Source organism: Homo sapiens, chromosome 22, assembly GCF_000001405.40.
Source record: "Homo sapiens chromosome 22, GRCh38.p14 Primary Assembly".
In the NCBI taxonomy this organism is placed as follows: domain Eukaryota; kingdom Metazoa; phylum Chordata; class Mammalia; order Primates; family Hominidae; genus Homo; species Homo sapiens.
In genome coordinates this window covers 48526294-48547873 of record NC_000022.11, presented here as the reverse complement: position 1 = coordinate 48547873, position 21580 = coordinate 48526294, and the positions used below count along the sequence as shown (strand labels likewise).

The following is a 21580-nucleotide window of genomic DNA, read 5'->3' as shown; positions in this document are numbered from 1 at the left end:
GGTGACATTTCCAACCTTCTCCACGTGTGAAATGCAGCGGCAGTCGTCAAACTCAGAGTCCTCTGGAGAGAGACGGAGACACTGAGACCCACCCCAGAGTCTCGGACTCCGCAGGTCTGAGTGGGGCCAGAGATGGACATTCCTAACACGCTCCCAAGGCTGTGCCAATGCCACTGGGACCCCACTCTGAGTCACTGGCTTACGAGGTTGCCATGAAATCAGATAATGTCCCTAAAGTGGAGAACCAAGGGCCGGTACATAAGGCAGCACCCCTGAACACGAGCGGCTCTCCCCATTACTGTCACTATTGCACAGTGAAGAGTCTCCCAGCTGCTTCAGCTCTGGCCCAGCAACCATGGCTGGTGCCCGTCTCCCCCATCTCTCACCCAGTATGGGGGCTCCAGGCTTGGGGCTGATGTGACATCACAAACAAAGGTATCCTCACTTCCCCTTCTACAAAGGAATGCAAACACCTGGGGAAAGGCTGGATCCCAAGAGGCCCCTGAAGCCCCAAGAGCTCCCCTGATTGTTCCAAAGCAACATTCCCCTCCATGAACAACTCAGGGACCCCCTCGATCCACGGCGTGAGGCCCACCAGCAGAGGAAGAGGAGCTTCCAGTCCTGACTCCCACTAGGCGCAGGGGAGCCGAGGTGAGCTCCCAGGCCCGCCGCATCTTCCCGTAAGTGGTTGGGCTGAAAGACTCCCTCTGCCTTTTCATTTGAAAATATAGATACCATCAGACGTTTTGATCATTTCTATTTTTGTTTCTACACTTCAATTTTGGCAGTACTCTCTTGGGAGCTGGGGGGAAACACATTTTTCTCTACCATTTTTAATCTTCTTTTATTTATCAAACTTAGCTCCTCTTTGGGTGGATTAAAACAGACTTGGACAGAGTCTGGAAAAACAAACTCTTTTAAAACAAGACAAAGATTGAGTCTGGCCAACTGGCTATTTTCAATCCTTGCTGAACGGAGTCAAGACAGTCGGTAGTAACAGCTTGTGGCCATCCGCAATCGTCCTCCCCGCACGAGAGGGTGGAGCCTCCTGGAAGTGACCAGAGCCGGTGACTTCGGGAATCAACCCTCCTGAAACAGCGGATGGCCTAGTGAGCCTTTCCAGAACTGCAGAGGGGCATTTGAGTGTGGAACATGAGTGCTGGGCACCTGGAGGAATGGAGGTGAGCCCCCCATCCTGCGGACCCTCACAGATGGGAAGTAGGAGGAGGACTCGCCAGGCCATGCCCTCACGCACTCTTGATCCTTTTAGGATTCCCCAAAGCTCGCTGGATGCACATCCCTTGCTCAGCAGTCCACATCATCCGTATCTCTCATCCCACAGCCGCGGGCTGCCCAGCCAGGTGAGAAAAACAGGGGCGTCCACACACCCCGTTTGAGAAAGGGGATTCTTTCCCCCACAAGCTCCAAGAGGATAGGGCAGTGTCCGATGGTCACTCGGGGACCTCCAAGAGCCATCCAGTGCTCAGCACAGCATGTGTTTGCTGAATTAATCAAGGACTTTGCAGTGGACTCAGGCCACCTTGCCCTGGGACGGGCAGGCACAACATGAGGACTGACAATGCCGTCAGCGCACGCCGGCATGGGAGCCTCAGCTGCTGGGAATGCATTTGCTGTGAAGTGCTGACCAAGGAGTGGACTCTGCCTGCTGGCCACGTGCAGGCGCAGTCCCCATGGGGAGGCACGCTTCTTCCGGGCTGAAGGGGAGCCCTCCTCCTCCCGACTCAGCGAGCCCACCTGCTCCTCCAGGCTGCCCGCCCAAGTTGTGCCCGTGATGGGATGGGAGGGCCAGCCCCAAAACCGAGCATGTGCCTGGCTCTCCTCCCGCCCAGCGACGGGCCTGGCCACCCAGAGCCTCCGGAGCAGCTCCCTTGGGTGGGACCTGCTTGAGGCTCACAGATCCTGGCACTCCCCTTCCCCAGGGTGGCAGAACCCAGCCAAGTTATAGCAGGCAGCACTCACACCTTCACCCACTCATTCATGTATTAATCTGCCCTGCCGGACTCCAGGGGCATCTGTTGACAAAGAGCCTCTAACTGGAACGGGCCGTGGGGACTGTGTCCTGGGGTCTCTCAGGTGCCCAGGCGACAATCTCCTTGGGGCACTAGGTAACTGCAGCAATTTCCCCTCCCTCTCTCCTGCACCCAAGGGACCTGCCCAGCTGTCTCCACACCCTAGAGCCCACCTGGTACTGCTCCTGGATGATTTCTGGGTGTCGGCCCTGTCTGCCCAGGAATAGCAGGGGTCCTGAAAACAGCGGCAGCCCCAGAGCCTCCACCTCTCCCAGCACCAACACAGGATGCTCCATAACACCCAACCTAGTTCCAAAGAGATTGTGAGTGGCAGCTGGGTTCAGAGTAATCACTGCATAACCCAGAAACATTCATTAAGCACCTACTGTGTGCTGCGCTATCCACTAGGCATTAGGAGATACAAGACATAGGGTTGCTGCCCTCATGGGTGTCTCACTCAGGTCAGGGAGCAGCCAAATAATTGCAATCACAACAGTGTCCTATGAGTGCTGTGACCCGGGGCAGATCCAGCCCCCTCTGAGGCAGGGGCCACCAGGAACACTGTGCCAGGGAATTCCGAGACCAGAGGCCTTACGCCAAATGGCAGCATGGCACGGTCTGGATGGCAGGCTTCAGTGAGTGGCGGAAAGACTGAGGGGAGGGCAGAGCAAGAGGGAGAGAGAATAGTGTCTCCCACAAATACAGTCCACTTTCTCCAAACCTGAAGACTCGCTTAGAACCTCATGATCCGGGAATCCATCTGGAGATGGTGAAAGTCATGGTTCCCCTGAGAGTCCTTCCGCCTGTTGACTGAGCCACTGGGGGCTGGCTGGACTGCTCCCACCACGCAGCAAAGGAGAGGCGGCTGCTGCCCACTGAAAAGCAGGTGCGCTCAGCATCCTTCCTTCACACCCGTAGGGCCTTGCGGCAGGAGGTGGGACAGATGCAGACTTCAGCCCCGAGTCTGGCTTACTTCAGGATCCCTCAGGGCTCTCTCACCTCAGAGGCAGCGTGGGACCCCAGGCCACACCTTGTTTGCAGGCCTCGCCTAGATCGTGGTAACAGCCAGAACTCAACAATTTCTCCAAGTCAGCCTCCCCGCAGCCCGGAGTGGGGACTGAGACCAACATGCACCCTCATCTGCGGGCACGCAGGGACACAGCAAGTCCAGAGTGAGTGCTTAGTGCACATCAGGCCTTAAGAAGGGGGGTGGAAATGCAAGGCACCTAGCCAGCTGTGCCGCTCTGTGCAGCTCTGGGAGGAAGCTGGCATGTGCTGATGCAGTTAGCGCCGTTGCACCCTCCTGGTGCTGCAGCTCATTTGAAAAAAGCCCAGATTAGCATGTGGTGCAGAGGTCTGCATATTTCAACAAACGGCTGCCTTGTCAGATGTCACCTCGAGGGACGGGCTGACGGAGTCCCTGGCAAACCCAAGACTGGCCGTGGAGTGGGGACAGAGCCTGAACTGCCCCCAAGCCAGTGGCATTGGCTTGCCCTGTGCAGCCTCCTCCCATAGAGGGGGCAGACAACGCAGGGGGAGGATGCCCCCCAGGTCCACAGCTCTGCAGAGGTCCTGGACCCCACTCTGCCAGTGTGGCGGGTATCAGAGCTGGGTGGGGCTCTGTGAAGTTAGGGTCATGGAGATGGTATGTAAACCATGGGACCTGAAGGGAAGACCCCACCCCAGGGTGCACACCCCAGACACCATGACACACCCTGGCTGACAGCTCTGGCCAACGGAGCACTTGGGAGCAGGTGGTCTCTGCAGCCCACCCTGCTGTCCTGCTGAGCACCCAGGTACCCATGGCACTGGCACATGACCAAGGACAGACATCCATGGTGTGGGCTGCCTGGAGCCCCCCAGGCCCCTGGGAGCTCCTCGGCTTATCAGAGACCAACTCCAGCCCTGAAAGCCATCATTTTCTGGGGTCTTCTGGAGCCCCACAAGGGGATCACCCATGCCTCTCCAGGTGGAGAATGAGGGTCAAATGGAGAGTTATCTTGGAAGCCCGGATGCCCCGCCTGGAGGGAAGCTGCCTGCTGGGGCAGACACCTGGCCTGTCCAGAGCCTAACTGAATGCCACAGGTCCCAGAGATACTCAGCCTGGAGCAGCCTCTGCACTGAGCAGGCCTGGAGTCAGTGGGCTCTGCCCGAGCAGGGACACAGTCCCCCAGGAAGTTGAGAACACAGCAAGCCAGAGCGGGGAGGCCTCCAGTGAGGTGCAGCCATCTCCACTGCAGCAAGGATAATATCTCCTCTCCAGACTGCGGTCAGCAGCGGGCCTGAGGTGTCCTGCTCTGTCATGGCGGGAGGGTTCCATGAGCAGCAGCGAGGGTCCCCCCGTAGGAGGTTGCCCCTACCCCGCCAAGGCCAGACCAGCAGGGAGGCTCTCCTTGGAGGCAAGGCCCCCACCACCTGCTGTTCCTGGGTGACATTTCCTCCAGAGAGTGGCCGGAAAGGTCACCTCCCCTCCACTCGGGCCTGCTTCATTGCCGTGATTACACTTTACGATCCTTTTATGAAGGATTTTGTCTTTAAGTTCCACAAATGTTATTGCAAAAAACGACTTGGGCCCCATCTCTTCCCCGGGGAGGGGAGCGGCCTGGCTGATTGGTAATAAGGGCCAAAGCGTCAGAGATCCTCATTTTCAACAGGGCTGGAGGAGACAAACGACCCCCGGCTCCCCAGGAGATGTTCAGAGACGCAGATGCCAGGGGAGGACGTGGAGGGCTCCAGGTGGATGCAGACCCCAGACCACTCTCCCCTCTCTGTGCCCCTCAGCAAGTCACACACTGCCAGATCGGGGTCCCACTATGTAGAGTGGTCATGGACACTTCTCCACACACTACACACCATACACATCACACACTACACACCACACACGACACACACCACAGACTATACACCCCAGACAGTACACCAGTACACATATCACTATACACACCACACACACAAATACACACATCACACACACCATACATACTCTACACAAACACATCACACACACATACACACCACACACACACACCATACACATCACACACTGTACACCACACATGACATACACCACACATCATACACCCCACAGTACACCAGTACACATATCACTATACACACCACACACACACTAATACACACATCACACACACCACACATACACCACACAAACATCACACACACACCACACACACACCACACACACACATCACACACCCACACACACCACACACACACCACACACACATACACACCACACACCCGCACACACACCACACACACCACACACACATACACATCACACACACACCACACACCACACATGCACACACACATGCCACACACGCACACACACCACACACACACCACACACACATACACAACACACACCCGCACATACACCACACACACACCACACACATACACACCACACACGCCACACACGCACACACACACCACACACACACACCACACACCCGCACACACACATATGCACACACACCACACACACACCACACACATCACACACACATACACACTACACACACATCACACATGCACACACACCCCCCACACACACCACACACACATACACACACATATGCACACACACACAGCACACACACCACACATCATGTACATCACACACACATACACACGACACACACATCACACATGCACACACACCCCCCACACCCACACACACACATACACATCACACACACCACACACACACACACCACACACACATCACACATGCACACACACACACGCACACACACACCACACACACACGCCCCGGCCCCTCCAATCTGAACACCCGGGTGACAAGAACCACAGCGGCTGATTGATGCTGGGCCCTGCACACTGGCCTCCCAGGCCCTGCACTCGGCGTCCTGGAGCTCCTTCCACTCAGCACCCACACGATCCCCTGGGGTATCTGTGGCCCCCAACATGCCCCGGGGGAGCCCAGAGCCGGCTTCCCCCAGCTGGAAGACAGCACTGCTGGGGCCTTCCCAGGGCACGGGTGGTGGCACTCAAGACCCGGAGCCTGGCAGGGCTGCAGACCTTGCCACCCCTGAGGTCAAGGCCTCCCAGCAGTCCCACCTTGAAGAAGGACTTGAGCCCAGAGCCAAGGGGAGGGTCCTGTGTGTCTGTGGCCAGGTGCACTGAGTCCTCACTGCAGGTCTGCATGGGGCCTCCCACCCTGGCCTCCCTCCACCCTCCCAACACCGACACAGGGGGGTGGCACCTGTTGCCCTGTGTGGCATACAGGTGGGCTGGGGAATGTGCCTGGGCTCCTCACACCTGGGACAAGGAAAACAGCAGCCGGCCGAGGCTGAACTGTGAGTTGTCTTCCCTGAGAGAGGCAGACTCCACAAAGAATGAAACAATGCCCTTCAGCAAAAGTCTGGGTCCTACGGGCCCTCCAGAAAGCATGGGAATGGGGAGGGTCTCCAAGTCCCTGCACGATGCTCCAAAGGGTACAGGGTTCTGGGGTCTCCAAGTACCTGCACAAACACCCCAGCAGGGACAGGCTCCTTGGAGTCTCTGGGTTCCTGCACAAAGGTCCCAGGGGGTATAGGGTCCTGGGGTCTCCAGGTCCCTGCACAAGTGCCCCAAATGGTACAGGTTTCTGGGGTTTCCAAGGCCCTGTACAAACGCCCCGGGAGGACAGGGTCCTGGTGTCTCTGGGTCCAGTGCACACACCCAGGAGGCGCAAAGTCTTGAGAAGTGCTGCCGTTCAGTGGCGGACTTCCTGGGGCTTCACTCCCAGCCCTGACTCCCCCACCCCCTGTCCCTGAACAGGTTCCTCAGCCCAGGATCCCCATTTTCCTTTGGTGAGCCCCTCTGCAGGGTTTGGCCCAGGTCTGGAGCCTCACGTCCACACAGAGAGCTGCTACCAGGACCTGTGTTACCTGGCCGGCTTCTAATAAATGGCTGCTGTTTGTATTTTTTTTTTTTTTTTTTACTGTCAATGAAAAATGGTCTGACAGGCAAACACAAAAACAAACCCATTACACCGAGTGCCACAAAAATCTTCCTCTAAACATCTGAAGCTAAAATTGAGGCCAAGTTTCACAGTACATTAGTGACTAAATTCTGAATAACATCATTTTGTAAAGAAGAAATAATTGGCAAATTATAAGATTATTTTAGTACAGTAACTTGAGAAAGAACAAAAAGAAAAGGAAGCGAGGCTTGGATTCATGAAAAACAAAAGATGCATTTGAGGCAAAAAAAAAAAAAGGCAAACTCCTGTGCATATCTGCGCTCAGCGTTTCTTACCTCGAGGTGGGACTGGGTCCTTTTTGCCGGGGCGGAGGACACCCTAGAAGTCAAAGGCTTATGTGCCCCATTAGACCTCAGGGGACCAGGGACTGGAGCAGAGAGGTCGGGTAATCGGTCATCGTTCCCATGGCGGGTGTCAGTTCTGGGCACAAGTGGCCTCGGAGAGGGATTCTCTGGGGGTCCAGGCAGGATCTGCCTCCCCCACCCCTCCAGAGGTTTTCCAGGCTTCCACCCAGGGGATCCACCTCCCCCCACCGCCCTGGTCCTGGGGAGCAGGCTTCAGCCCACGGGTCCCTTCTATTTCCCACCTGCACCGGTGCTGCAGTGGGAAATGAATTCAAACACACCTTTGTGACCTACACGGGTCTAACCTGGGCAAACTCACCCTCCCGTACACAAGGCTAGACCCAAGAAGGCACAAGTCCTGGTGGCCAGCAGGTTCACTGCGGGTGAGGGGGCCAGCCCTTCTCCTGCAGTCAAGGCTTGCCGGCTTTTACCCGGCTGCTCCTAACCCTTCCCAGGCCCCCAGTTCCACTCCCAACCCCCCAATCCATGGGACATGGGCTCTGCCAGACCCCGGTTTTCTCTCCAGTGCTGGAATCGAACCAAACTCCTCTCCCTGGCAAGGCCCCATCCCCTCCCACCTTCTGCCTGTACCCCTGCCCCCTTCAGCACTGGTGGCGGCAGGTTCTGGGACTTCGAAGTTTCCCATCTGGCTCCTTGTTACCCAGTTCTCAGCCGACGTATCACGTCCTGGGGGTGACCTTGCCTGGTCAGCTGAGCCCTGTGGCCTTCCTGCGGCTATTAAGCCCTCTCCTGAAATTCTCTGACAGGCCCTGGAACTCCAGCGACATTGCTGGATATTTCTTCATTTGCTCATAGGCTCTGTTCCCGTGGGCAGGCCCTGTCGGGTGGCACCGACCTGGCTGTAGCTCAGCACAGCATACCTTCCTCGTCCTTCCCGATTTCCACCTGAGGGGCTCCTAGCTTCTTAAAAAAATACAGAAAGTGGGAAGAGAAAAGTTGCAGTGACAAACTGCACCCGTCTAAATGTAACTCCGTCTTTAAGAAAAGTCAACACAATAATTGTCTTTGTTTCAGAACAGATGCCAAGAGGGAAATCAAAACAGCTTTTCCTGCCTGGGAAACAGTAACAACCACTTCAGAGTGATCACCGCCCGGCCACGCACAGCCTGGAGGAGCCCATGTCCTATTAGGGTATCGGCTTTGCCTCCGATTATCTGGCAAATAAACCAATTTAGGAGTCCGCCAGGGTCTTTCTGGCCACCTCTCCAGGGCCCTGGCTGGGCCAGTCCTGTCTTCATTTCCATACAGCCAGCATCCTCAGTGAGATGGAGAAATGTCATTATTTACCAAGAAACCAAGATCTGAAAATGGCAATTACTCGGCAGGTCAGCAGAAAGCCCCAGGATACTTCTCTCCCCGGGATTCAGCCAGCAGCTCGGAGCTGGAAGACCGAGCCAGTGCCCACCCCACAGGCTCCCACCCCCTGTGAACTCACATCCCATTGGTTTACAAAAACGACTATGTATCCCCCCGACAAATACGTATTCATGCCTCCAAATGTTAAGTCTATTGCACACTTTATAAAACACAAACTGAAAAGTCACAGTAAAATGCAGATATAAACATGACACGATTCACCTGCCTGCTCTGTGGGCCCTGGGGACTGGATTCCGCACCTCCAGGGTGGAAGGAGACAAGCTCCCTGCACCCTTGATCCTAGGACTGGCCATGGGACTTACTTGGCCAGTGGGATGTTTGTGGGTGTGACCCAGGAGGAGCCCTCAATGAGCTCCGGAGGTTGAGTTTGGTGTCCTGCGATTTCCCACGGCAAGACCATGCCGGGAAGTAGCTAGTCAAGAATGCACAGAGACGCGTGGAAGAGACCTGAGCCCACCGCGGCCCGGAGCAGAGAGCACGGCAGACCCATGAGCAGGCACAGTCATGCTCCCTGCTGTGGGCCACAGAAGCTGGACTGCTTGTCAGGCAGCACCAGTGCAGGGAGAGCTGACTGGCTCTGATTCCGGCCACCACCTGGTCCTCATTCTGCCCTCCGAAGTTCCACATGGACGATACTGTATCCTGAAGGGCTCAAGGGAGGGAAAGCTCGCCAGCCAATACCCAACTACCTCGAATCAGCCAGAGCCAGAAAACTGGCCTGAGGATGGGGCGCCCCATGGCCTGGCTCACAACCAGCCTGAGGGCAGGGCTCGGGGCAGCGGCCCTCAGCCCCTTGCCCAGGACTGTCCTCCTCCTCCACCTGCTCAGTCCCATCTCCCATCCCCGCCCCTAAACCAGGAGCTGGCAGCGACTTTCGGTAGAGCGCCAGGTAGTCAATATTTTCGGCTCTGCAGCCCCGGGCCATCTCGGTGGTTTCACGTATTTTTCTTTTTTTGTTATAACCCTTTAAGATGATTAAAACCATCCTTAGCTTCCTGGCAATATAAAAGCAGGCCACTCGGCCTAAAACCCGGAGCATCCACACCTGAATCTGCCTTCAGGAAGGGGCGTGGAGCTGACCGTGCGCTGGTGACAGAGAGGTCCGTGCACTGCCTGGATCCATGGCATCCCCACGCCAAATGGCCCACGGGGGAATGGAAGGCATCGTGCCCCTGCCACCCCCTCACCCTGACCCTACACCCTCAGCCTGATCCCCACCATCAGCCAGAGAGGCCTCAGGAAACCAGGGGTACAGGGTCTGCCCAAGGCCTCTCCTGCTCTCTTCACTCCGGCAGGAGCCTGGCTTAGTCTGGGGACACCGTGGGGCCTTCTAGGCTGCTGGGCTGGGCGCTCTGACAGGGGAGCAGAAAGGGGCCTCCAGGGCCCCAGGGAGAGCTGCAGGACCCTGGCTGCAGTGCCTGCTGGGCTGGGCTTCCCCCTGAAACAAGAAGGAGGCCATGGCATTTGGTTTGACACTCATCGGGAGCTCCTTGCTGCCAGCTTCTGGGTCCTCCCAGGAGCCTTATCCAACTGTGGGACCTGTGGGCTGGGATTGAGAGGCCAGGCTGGCCAGGGCCGCATGCTGAGTCAGTAAGTGGCAGGGCCCAGATTTGAAACCAAGCCCCATCCTCTGCCCACATGCCTCCTGGCACACAGACATGGCCTGCCCTGGGGTTTTGTCCCTGGCATCCCTGGTCTAGAGTGGATGGAGGAGTGGGGAACGCCACCCTGAGCTCCCATGGCCAGACCCCGTCTCTCCCAGACGATGACGATCTTGCCTGGAAATGCACCAAGAACAGAGCGGGAACCTCATGTCCTCAGGTCCCCAGGGAGCCGGGCCATGTGGTGGCAGCACCGGCCTCCCCTGCCCCACCCTGCCCCCACCCCGGGTGTCTCAAAGGCAGAGGAACGAGAGCCACAGAACAATCCGTTCCATCGGGGCCTCTGCCAGCACCAAGCCATCTGGCTCAAGTCAGCGGGACCTCCCCAATTCCTGCCAGACCGGGAGGCCGAGGGGGTTTTTGTTTGGGGTGGCATTCCTCCTGACCACACCCATCACTAAGAGCTCCTAAAGGAGAGGCACCCAGGCCAGCCACGTCCAGAGGGAGCCCCCGTCCCAGGTCCTGCTCCTCTGCAGACGACAGAACTCAGCCAGCTGCAGCCCAGCCAGGCCCCGCTGCCATCGCCCAGCCAGTGCCAGGGTGTCCGGGGGCTGCCTCGGGTCTGTGGGGCAGCTCCCAGCCACTCCTCCACACACAGATGTGAAGCTCCTCCCTTCCCCAGCGTAAACCCTCCTGGAGCACAGAAAGCCACTGCCGTGTGCATGTGTGTGCGCGCCGCCTGTGCCCATGGGTGGCTGCAAACAAAGGCACTCTGTCCTCCCCGCAGCACAGGGCACAGGGAGCCGGAAGCCTTGGCCGCAGATGAAGACAGGCATGCTGTTGACATGGAAACCCAATAGTTAAAAATTCTTCAGGCGGTTTCGAAATGTCAAATTTTGATAACCAGGTTGGAGTCCTTGTTCCTCCATAGTGAAATGTTTGGCAAAACAAGCCCTGCCATGAATTCCTGACAACTCGTCAGCCACGGCGCACGCCTGAGCCATATGTTCCTCCACGGGCGGTGCGCGCTCGTTACCCACCCGCGCCGGCTCCCGGTGCTGACACGCTGTCAGGGCTGAAAGGACGGCCTGCCTCTCCGGGCTCGTCTTTTATGGACATATAACTTGTTGGCGGACAAAGGACATCCACTTGTTTCCCGGCTTGCCGAGAGGAAAGCCCTCTGATAGACAATTCTCCCTCTATGTTGCCCCACAAAAACCCGGGACTGCTGGCATTTGCCTTGAGCCGGGGACGGTAGGTTTCCAAGTCCCTGCTAATTAATGGAAACGTGTGTGTGTGTCGGGGCATGGGGGACGCATGAAGACAGAGACCCACACCTACATATGGACACTTGCTTCTGCCAAATTAGTTTCAGGAGACGAAAACCAACCCATGCGGGAACTCGCTGCATGCGGCACCAAGCGGCGGTGCAGCTCTGTGGCGGGGGCTCGACAACACGGGCACTCCTGGGGGGGGTGTGTCTGTGTGTGCCCCTGTGCAGCCATGCATGAGTGCCCATACGCGTGCCTGTGCAAATGTGTGTAATGTGTGTGCAGTGTGCTCACACCTACGTATATGCATATACCCACACAGCCTGTGTGCACACACACGAGTGCTCATACATGTGCCGGTGTGACCGTGTGTGATGTGTGTGCAGCATGCTTGCATCTACACATATGCATATACCCACACAGCCTGTGTGCACACACGCATGAGTGCTCATACATGTGCCAGTGTGACCGTGCGTGTGATGTGCCGGTGTGACTGTGTGTGTGATGTGTGTGCAGCATTCTTGCACCTACATATATGCATATACTCACACAGCCTGTGTGCACATGTATGCATGAGTGCTCATCACATGTGCCGGTGTGACCATGTGTGATGTGTGTGCAGCATGCTTGCATCTACACATATGCATATACCCACACAGCTTGTGCGCACACAAAGGCACGAGTGCTCATACATGTGCCTGTGTGAACGTGTACATTGCGTGTGCAGTGTGCTCACACCTACACATATGCGTATAGCAACACAGACTGTGTACATGTTTGTGTTCAATGCTCATCTGTGACATATACACACCCGTGTAATACTGAAGTCAGACATTTCTTCTAAGGCCATCACATCCTCTGTTGACGCACTCCTGTGCAGGTATTATTTGTAAATGTGCATCTTACATGCACACTCATGTGCAGGTCACAGTGTGTGGGAGTGTGACTGTGTGTGTGTGGATGAAAAGACACACTTTTAAGAGTCACACACACATACTACAGTGGTGGGGTGATCATTTGCATAAAAACCTGTATAAAGGTTCCACCTCCCCTGGAAAGACACCCTGTGCACAGCAGAACGTTCCCAGGTAAGGGTTGCTGGGCTGGGATCCCAGGGTGAGAGGCCCCAGGGCCCAGCCTTGGGGAGGGGCTGCCCAAGGCTGGGGAGAGGTGATGTTCCGGAATGTTCCCTGTTCGCTGGCTGGGGTGACAGAGCTGGCTGGGGACCCACGAGTGGCCAGTAGAACTAGGAAGAAAAGGAGAGGACAGAGGAGCTAAGGCGTCTGTGCTGAGGCTGCAGCTCAGCCTCCAGGACCCCCAAGACAAACAATGGGCACCGACCTCCATCCCTCCACGGCCAAGCCTCCACAGTCGCTGAGCGCAGCTGCTCCTGCGGCTCCCAGCCCCGTGTCCCTGACCTGCAGCAGAGCCCGCTTTCTCAGTGCAGGTGCGCCCGCGGTGCCCGCCGGAGAGCCGGGCCTCCCCCTCCCCCCGTTCCAGGGTAAAGGACAGTGGAGGGGGCGCAGCCTCTCCTTCAACCTCCCCACACCCCCGCAGGGCGGCCCCAGCAAGCACCTAGAGGAGATATTCCCGGAAGTGAAGCTGGAGGAGGAGCTGCTTGGCTCCGGGCACAGGCACATTCCAGGGCCCTGTGGGCTCAACTGCAGCCTCCCTCAGGCCCTGCCCTCCAGCCTGCCCTGTCCACCCACCCAGGCTGTCCTGGACCTGCTGCTCAGCTGACACGGCCCCTCCTCTCTGCCTCCACACTCCTCAGTCCTAGAGCTGGCCATGCAGGGTTACCCCCGTGGGAGTCCTCTGCAGACCCCCGGAGGAACGCCCGGCCCCATCTCACCTGCCTGCCCTACTTCAACTGCCTGGCCCCTCACCTACCTATCAGCCCTCATCTGCCTGACTCCCCTCACCTGCCTTACCCACCGCAATTGCCTGATCCACCTCACCTGACTTACTCATTTCACCTGCCTGACCCACCGCACCTGACTTATTCATTTCACCTGCCTGCCTCCCCACCTGCTTGACCCACCTCACCTGCCTGGCCCCCCTCACCTGCCTGACCTCCCTCACCTGCCTGTCACCCCTCACCTGCCTGGCCCTGCCTCACCTGTATTCTTGCCTCTGCTGTGAGGGTAGCAATGGAAGGAGACCATGTGGGCTCTCCTGAAAGGAGAGTTCCTTCTCCATGTCATCAGCCCAGCTCCAGGAAATGCAGATGCTAAGGGGTCCTTGCTAACTTTGGGGTGCTGACCCACTATGACCCCACAAACCATGGCCCATGCCCTCCACAATGTGCCAGGCTCATCCTTTCCACCAAACATGGTGAAAACAGCTGTCATCCAGCCACACGGCTGCTGCTTCCCCATTTTCTCATATTTCTGGACACTGGCTTCTCTGTACAGCAAGAAAGGACAGGTGGGAAAAGGAAAAAAAAAGGTTTGGGGAAATGTGAAAATGTCCTTCTCTGGGCAACAGCTCACTGCGAAATTTCATTCTGGCCAGGGACCAAGATGCCCAGAGGGTGGCCTCGAGTTGGGAAAGGGGCCCTAGGGTGTCCTTCTCCCATTCCCTTCCAGATCTTTCTACAGCCATCTCCCGAGGGCCTCACTGCTTGGGGTGTGACCCCTTCCTGGCGTTTCAGAATGTGGTGGGATCCAGCTTTGACTCAAATGACCAAAATACATCCTGCTGACATCTCTGATGGGCAAGGCCCTAGCTGGACGTCAGACTTGCAGCCTGGAGGCCAAGACGCTGAAGACCTCGTGCTGAGAGAGCCCCACCAGGGCCTGCCCTGGAGTCCTCACCCTGTGCCACCCCTGCCACCTCTGTGCCAGCTGTGCTGGGGTCGCCTTCTGCAGACACAGGGCTTGGACACCACAATTCTGGGGTCCCAGGTGAGAGCCAAAGGTTTGACGGCTGCACCCCTCCCCCTCACACCTAACGGGAGACCAGGGCATCGATGAGACTTCTATTCTTTGCTCCTTGCACCCTAATCACCGCCGGTCCCCTCACCCTTCCTCAGGGCCACCTCCTCAGACCCCGGCCACTCCATCAGGCTGGGCGGCAGCAGGCACAGGCCTCCCAGGGGGTGCTCCCAGGGCCTCTGCTCCCAGAAGGACACTGCACAGGGGAACCTCCGCCCGCACCTGTCAGCAAACCCCCGTCCCCTGGCAGCATTTAGGGCAACAGCCTGGGGACTCAGCACCCTGCGCTCACTTCAAGCTCTACCACCCACAGGCGGTGGGACCTTGGCAAGTGTCTGGATGTCTCTTGGCCTCAACTTTCTCACCCTGGACATGGAGAAGATATGATCTCCCTGTTGCAAAGACAGTGTGTGTCCTGTGTCCTCCAAATCCTAGGACTCATTCCTCAGATGCTCCCAGCCCGTCTTCCCGATGGGAGCCGGGGCAGGGGCACCATTCCTTGCTGAAAGATTTCAGGCAGAAGTGGCCCGGGTCCTTCCAGGCCTGACCTCCTGTGCCATCCTCCTCTTCTTCCCCTTTCATGGTGACCTGGAAGCCACGTGTGAGATGGCGGCTGCATTAGAGGCCCCCAGCGACTGGGTGGGCCACACCCTATGCCTGCAGCAGGGCAGATGCTGGACGTGACTATAGTGTCTGCAGCCTGAGGTCTCCCATCCCACCTGCCTCACTAACCCCACCAGCGACAGTGCGTAATCGTTGACTGATCCCAATATTTTAAAACCTGAGACCAAAATACACAAAGAGACTATCCTGAAGACACAATAAATCCTTGCTGGGTACATGAACAGCCTTGGGATTGAGCAGGAGGGAAATGGTCTCTTGAGAACATGAAATACGTGTTTCCAACATGTACTCCTCACCGGAAAGATCCGAGCTGTCAGGGCTGACCACAGCCTGAAAAGGTGCGGAGTAAATAAAAGGCAAATATGGTGAAGATTAGACGTGCGGCCTCCGTAATCTCCTAAAGAGTGCTGGCTGGGCAGCCCTGGAGGCGAGGGCCACATTTGCATAATCTCTGTAGAAAAACCCCTGGAAGCCAAGCTTATCATGGTTCTGAGAAGAAGAAAAGGCAAGGAGATCCCTCCTCTTCATCAGAGAACAGAAAGCACCAAGGGGTTCCTCGTCCGGAGGAGGCAGGCGGGGTGCACAGGAGCAGGGCTCGGGAGAGAGCCACCCACCTTCCTCTGGATGCACAGTGACCAGCTGTGCAGACAGGAAACGGGAGCTCAGCTGCAGAATCAGACCCAGAAGCGTCACCAGCTGTGCCGGCATGTGCTGGGCATGAAGTCCTGTCCGTGGTGTGCCTGGCTGTTCCTGGCTGTGGGACGTCCACCCTCTCCTGCCCTGCCAGGCCCGTCCGTCCTTCCGGGGGAGTTGGGGGGTGGGAGGCACCTGCTGTCTCTTCCTCCAGGGTCAGCCTCCCAGCCTCTCCTCCCAGGATTAGAGAGTGCAGTCCTGGGGGCAGTCCCAGACAACCTCCCTGTACAAACCCCTTTCTGTTCCCAAGAGGCATGTGGTCTCTGGCGCGAGACTGACAGCTCAGCAGGAGGGCGCGCTGGGGGTCTAAAGGCATTTCTCCTGCAGGCGAGGAAGGGAGGGTCCAGGCTAGAGTCCCCTGCACAAAGCCGGTAAGCTTAGGGGTGCAGGCCGGCTACCCCAACCTGACGCCAATGCCAAACCAAGTCAGTAACCCACATGTCGACTGCACCTGCAGGGAAGACCCACTGTGGCCTCAGGGACCTCGAAGTCTGCCAGATCCCAGGCCACAGGGCACCGGGGCGGGTGTCAGGAGCCACCTGCAGAGGCCGCAAGACTCACGTTGTCTGCAAGAAAGCCCCTCTCACTGTCCGCTCCAGGAAGGGGACAGGCAGGCCGGTGCCCCAGAGCTTTCACCTGCCCAGTCTTCATCACAGCCCCACCCTGCCCAGGACAGGCTCCCAAGAGGCAGAGCCAGGGCAGGACAAGCCTGGGACTGGGGCTCAGCTCCTGCGGCCACACATCTGAGCTCCATGCAAGGCCGAAAGGGTTGGCCAGGGGCCGCTCAGCTCATCACAAAAGCAGAAGGTTCCCCATGCAGACCCACACTTCCTGGATCTGAAACAGGCCCAGCCACGTCGGCAGGCAGTGTGGTGGCTCCTGGCTACCCCAGCCACCTCTGACTGATTCCCTGAGACGGTCCACACACCCATGACCAGCTCTTGCCGGCTGGCATGTCTGTGAGTGTGGCCAGTCCCCTAACAAGGCTGGGGTCGGGGCGGGCAGGGGCACCACTTTGCACAGGGGGTCCCTGTACAGTGGAAGCTCAGTCTGTCATGTCACTGTGACATCTCAGCCACTTTCATTTGGAACCCGAGGGACATTTCTCCCCTGCTTTGTCGAAGCCCATAGCCACACGCACTGGGGTCGCCTCTCCTGCCCCAAACCTCACTCCTGGGAACTCCCTCTGCCACCGGCCCCCTGAAGGGGTGGGCCTGGGGGTCAGGTGTGAACCAGGTGGCTATGACTCCCGGCCCAAAGACAGCAGGTCCCATGTGACATGGACAGTTGGACAGGAAAGACGGGAGCCCATTGGAGGAGGGTCGCCAAGCAGAAGGGATGGGAAGGGAGGGAGCCAGGGGAGCGCTGGTTTCTTGCCCACCCTCTAGCAGGGGAGGAGACGGGAGGAGCCCTGTCCACCTGCTTTCCACTCTGGGCCTCAGCTTCTCTCTCTGTAAACCTGCAGCAGGTTCCCCTGAACCATCCCAAGGTCCCTGGCCAGAGTATCCAGTGGTCAGCCAAGACTCGAAGCCAATCCTTTCAGTTGAATGCCGGCCCCACGACAGTGCCCGGTGCATTCCTTCTCTGGGCTCCAGCAGGTGATGGCCCCTGTGCCCTCCAGAGGTTCCTTCACTCTGTGTTTTCTCAGAAAGGCACTTCAGGGACAGGCAGCACCAAGACTCCTGATGCCCCATTTGTCAGACGACCATGCTCGGATGTCACAGGAGGGGAGCAGAGGAGACTTACACTCAAGTTCTCATGCATGCAAAAATGGAGGTGATGCAGGCCCAGCCTCCTCCTCCTCGAGTCGCCATGGAGACAGAGCAGGTGGTACAGGTCATCAGTACAGGAGGGTCTGCAGACGCCAGGGCTTCCCTCACCCTACTCAGCCCAGCCCCACAAAGCAGAGGGCCCACGGCCTCTGCAGCCACAAGCTCAGTCCTCAGGGGGTGTCCAGAGGGCCCACAGCCCCTGCATCCATGAGCTTAGTCCTCAGGGGGTGTCCAACACCCTGTGAAGGGAGAAGGGTTGTCCCAGATGCCCCAACTCCCACCTGGAAGCTCTTTCTTCCAGAGTTTTCCTCCACATGTGCCTTCCAGGCTCGCTGTGACTCAAGGGCTACAACCACTCCCAGAGCACCCATGGGAGGATGGAGGTCTGAAGGGGCCTGACCACACACCCTCCCCGTCCACACACCCAACCCATCATCCTGTCTCTATGGAAAATCCTGATTCTTCCACAGTTCAGCCTGGTCGGAGACCCCTGGAATCCCACCTGGACACCCCCATCTCCTGCCTGACACCCCCATCTCCTGCCTGGACACCCTCATCTCCTGCCTGGACACCCCCATCTCCTGCCTGACACCCCCATCTCCTGCCTGGACACCCCCATCTCCTGCCTGACACCCCCATCTCCTGCCTGGACACCCCCATCTCCTGCCTGGACACCCCCATCTCCTGCCTGACACCCCCATCTCTTGCCTGGACACCCCCATCTCCTGCCTGGACACCCCCATCTCCTGCCTGGACACCCCCATCTCCTGCCTGACATCCCCATCTCCTGCCTGACACCCTCATCTCCTGCCTGACATCCCCATCTCCCGCCTGACACCCTCATCTCCTGCCTGGACACCCTCATCTCCTGCCTGGACACCCCCATCTCCTGCCTGGACACCCCCATCTCCTGTCTGACACCCTCATCTCCTGCCTGACACCCCCATCTCCTGCCTGAACACCCCCATCTCCTGCCTGGACATCCTCATTTCCTGCCTGGACACCCTCATCTCCTGCCTGGACACCCTCAACAGCCTCCACCTTGATTTTTCTGCCTCTACCCAGGTCCTAGGCATGCAGCGCCAGAGCGAGTTCTCAAATGTGAAGGTGGTTTAAGCAGTCACTGCCCTGCTAGGGCCCCTCAGAGGGTTCTAGTGCCCTCAAGGGCAAGCCCCCATCAGGCAGCTACCCTGTGCCCCATGCACCCCACCTGCCTGAGCCTTTCCCCAGGCTGGGCCTTCAGCTGAAATGTACCCCCTCATTGTCTCCCTGCTACCCCTCCCTTCTCCAGGTTACAATGGGACTGTGTCTCCCAGAGCAGGGCCTCTGGGCCCCAAGGAAAGCAAAGGCAGGTCAGGGGCTCCACAGACCCCCAGCTTCTCCCCCAGTGCTCCTGGTGCAAGCGCACAGCTGCTGAGTGGGGCCCCGCCCACCGGCCCTGCACGCACACTTGAGGCCACTCCGCTTCCAGGGTGTTCCTGGCTCTTTCCACAGTGCTGACCTGCAATCATACTCACACTATGTCTTTGTTGACTCAAAGCATTGGTTAATTACACAAACTCCCTAAGCACCTGACAAACCACAGTCCCCGAGGCCACATCACAGGTGGGGCAGGTGCACAGGCTCAGACTCCTGGGATCAACCCTAGGCTCCTAGGGGGTGAAGACCACCCTTGATGGGAGCTGGGCCCCGTGAAGGAGTGTGGCAGGGCTGGGTGCAGTGGCTGCAGGCAGCCAGTGCAGGGTGCAGAGGTGCTGGGTTGCAGGGGCTGCCCTTCCAGGGGTGCCTCCTCACTATGGCCTTGGCTATACACAGGCATCGGGGAATGGACCCCCAGAGCAGAACCCTTTCCTGGAGACACGATGCACCCAGGTGGCACCGACTCATGCCCCAAGGCCCTACTGGAGTCCTCACCGCAACTCTGCAGCAGCCCCCAGGCCCACTCCCATCTCACTCCGCTCGAAGCTTGTCAGGTACCAGGACCACACCAGGCTCCTGATTCACGGGTTTCCGGCACCTCCGAACTTCAGCGTCCTTAACTGAGAATCAGCATCATCGACGCCATCAGAGCCATCGCGGGGCCTGTGGAGGAGGAGAGGACAGGCACCGGGGGGCCCCGGGGGGCCCAGGCGGCCAAGCCAGCTCTGTCTATGCCGCTTTCATCTGCCTGTCTGGTGCCCTGCACCAAGGGTCACATGACATTCCCGATTCCAGAGAGGAGAACAAGTAGTAAAAGTGCATCTCAGAAGTGCCTGAAGAAGAGCGCGCCTGGGAAGGCGGGATTGCACCTGTTACGGCTGCTGGCATGTAACACGGGCCTGAAGCCTCGCGCCGGGCTCCATCTACCCGTGAAACACCCGGCGCATCTCAGGCACCTCCCTCTGACCTCCCGGCCACCATCGCCGGACCCACAGCTGCTCCCCTCAACCACACGACAGAGGCTGACCCAGGAAGGGTCTGAGCTAGGGCAGAGGCCCACAGAGCCCCGGATCCTCCTGCCACTTCCAGCCTGGGTGGGATGCGGCTTCCCACAGGGCTTCCAACAGGTGCTGTGGTGGGACCTCACCTCCCTTCCAGGCAGACTTACAAGAGCTGGAAGGAAGCTGGAAGTCAGAACCTGGCCTGTCTCTGTGCCCCAAGGACTGTGCACCATGTCCTTCCTGAACGTTCCCATCTGGAGGCCGTGCACGGGGAGTAGCCGGCTGTCTCTGGGCAGCTGCAACAGCTCAGGAGTCCGCCTCACTGTCCACGGTCCCGTTGCCCCTCACCCCTGCTGCCCTGGCCTTGCCCTGCCCTATAAGCAGGTGCCAGGCGACACCATAGCTGCTCATCCATTCAGAAACACAGGAGTACCAGCTGCGCTGTAAGAACTGGTTGAGTGCAGATCTCAGAGACCCCCCAGGCCTGGGCTGCAGTTGGGGTCTAAGTGGACCTTGACATTTACAGAGGAGGAAGTGACGGCCAGCCACAGGGAGTGCCACGGGGTCGCCTCTGACTCTAGCATTGCCCCAGAGCCACAGCCTCCAGAGGGTGAACCACATGGCCTGGTCAATTGGCCCAGGGGAGGCCAGCAAGGGCCCACGGGGCACTGGGTGGGGCTGTTACAATGAAGCCCCTTACATCTGAGTTCTCCAAATGCACACATCTGACTTTCAATAAATGGAAAAATTAAAGTTATAGTGGGCCTCATCATGAGATATAATATATTAAGGGAAAGGAATCACTTAAAGAAAATCCCAAGGACAACTCAATATCCTCCCCCTTTCAGAGGAAATGCAGTCCCATCTCACAGTTGATGTCATTGTTAATTCTTTCTAATGACACATTCAAGAAACAAAGCAAAACAAAAGAACCATCAACTCAGCATTTAGAACAACATATTTTGACAGCATATTTTTAAACTAATTCCCCTCTTCCAATGAAAGTGCCGTCTTGCAATCTTTCTAAGTCTATTCAGTATATACAACATGATTAACTCATTCTTCTCACGATGAAAACTCCGAGATACATAATGGCAGCGTGATCGACATGCAAATGCACTCAGGGACATTGTCTCTTCTTGTAAGGACCAGGAAGGACGTACCAATGAGGATGCACCCGCAGGAGCTCCGGGGCCAGCAGCCGCCCTGTATGGTCAGCCTTGTGAGGCCGGCACGCAGAGTTAACCAGGAGTGAGCAAGGTGGCACGCAGAAGCCAGCCCGTCTCTCCCTTGTGGACCAGGGACTCTGAGGGCTCCAGGTGGCCAGTATTCAGATGTGTCTGGGGCGACAGCTCCTGGAAGACTTGACTGGGGCACCTGCTCCCACTCTGCTCCCCTGAGAAGGATTTTGGAGCCAGCCAAGGGTACACAGTGAAGGATCCCTGCAGGTGGAAAGCTCCCTCGGCTCCTGGCCAGGGTG

At 57.7% G+C, this 21580-nt stretch overlaps 1 protein-coding gene and 1 long non-coding RNA gene across 2 annotated transcripts in view, besides 5 other annotated features; one reads left to right on the top strand and one right to left on the bottom strand.

The window, feature by feature from the left end:
* TAFA5 (TAFA chemokine like family member 5) overlaps positions 1–21580 on the bottom strand; it is a 262380-nt gene that overhangs the window by 204059 nt on the left and 36741 nt on the right. The window lies entirely within an intron of this gene.
* Positions 487–8974, top strand: LOC284933 (uncharacterized). The gene is made up of 5 exons (NR_038917.1): positions 487–680; positions 862–1181; positions 1271–1361; positions 2949–3202; positions 8426–8974. It is a non-coding gene; the product is annotated as an uncharacterized LOC284933 (long non-coding RNA).
* Positions 9722–10536: an enhancer, noted in NCBI's record as "H3K4me1 hESC enhancer chr22:48933150-48933964 (GRCh37/hg19 assembly coordinates)". NCBI's record gives its function as "activates a minimal SCP1, AML or CMV promoter by ChIP-STARR-seq in naive H9 embryonic stem cells {active_cell/tissue: H9 hESC(naive)}" and the evidence as "EXISTENCE:reporter gene assay evidence [ECO:0000049][PMID:30033119]".
* Positions 12926–13425: an enhancer, noted in NCBI's record as "H3K4me1 hESC enhancer chr22:48930261-48930760 (GRCh37/hg19 assembly coordinates)". NCBI's record gives its function as "activates a minimal SCP1, AML or CMV promoter by ChIP-STARR-seq in naive H9 embryonic stem cells {active_cell/tissue: H9 hESC(naive)}" and the evidence as "EXISTENCE:reporter gene assay evidence [ECO:0000049][PMID:30033119]".
* Positions 13426–13927: an enhancer, noted in NCBI's record as "H3K4me1 hESC enhancer chr22:48929759-48930260 (GRCh37/hg19 assembly coordinates)". NCBI's record gives its function as "activates a minimal SCP1, AML or CMV promoter by ChIP-STARR-seq in naive H9 embryonic stem cells {active_cell/tissue: H9 hESC(naive)}" and the evidence as "EXISTENCE:reporter gene assay evidence [ECO:0000049][PMID:30033119]".
* Positions 19456–19955: an enhancer, noted in NCBI's record as "H3K4me1 hESC enhancer chr22:48923731-48924230 (GRCh37/hg19 assembly coordinates)". NCBI's record gives its function as "activates a minimal SCP1, AML or CMV promoter by ChIP-STARR-seq in primed H9 embryonic stem cells {active_cell/tissue: H9 hESC(primed)}" and the evidence as "EXISTENCE:reporter gene assay evidence [ECO:0000049][PMID:30033119]".
* Positions 19956–20457: an enhancer, noted in NCBI's record as "H3K4me1 hESC enhancer chr22:48923229-48923730 (GRCh37/hg19 assembly coordinates)". NCBI's record gives its function as "activates a minimal SCP1, AML or CMV promoter by ChIP-STARR-seq in naive and primed H9 embryonic stem cells {active_cell/tissue: H9 hESC(naive and primed)}" and the evidence as "EXISTENCE:reporter gene assay evidence [ECO:0000049][PMID:30033119]".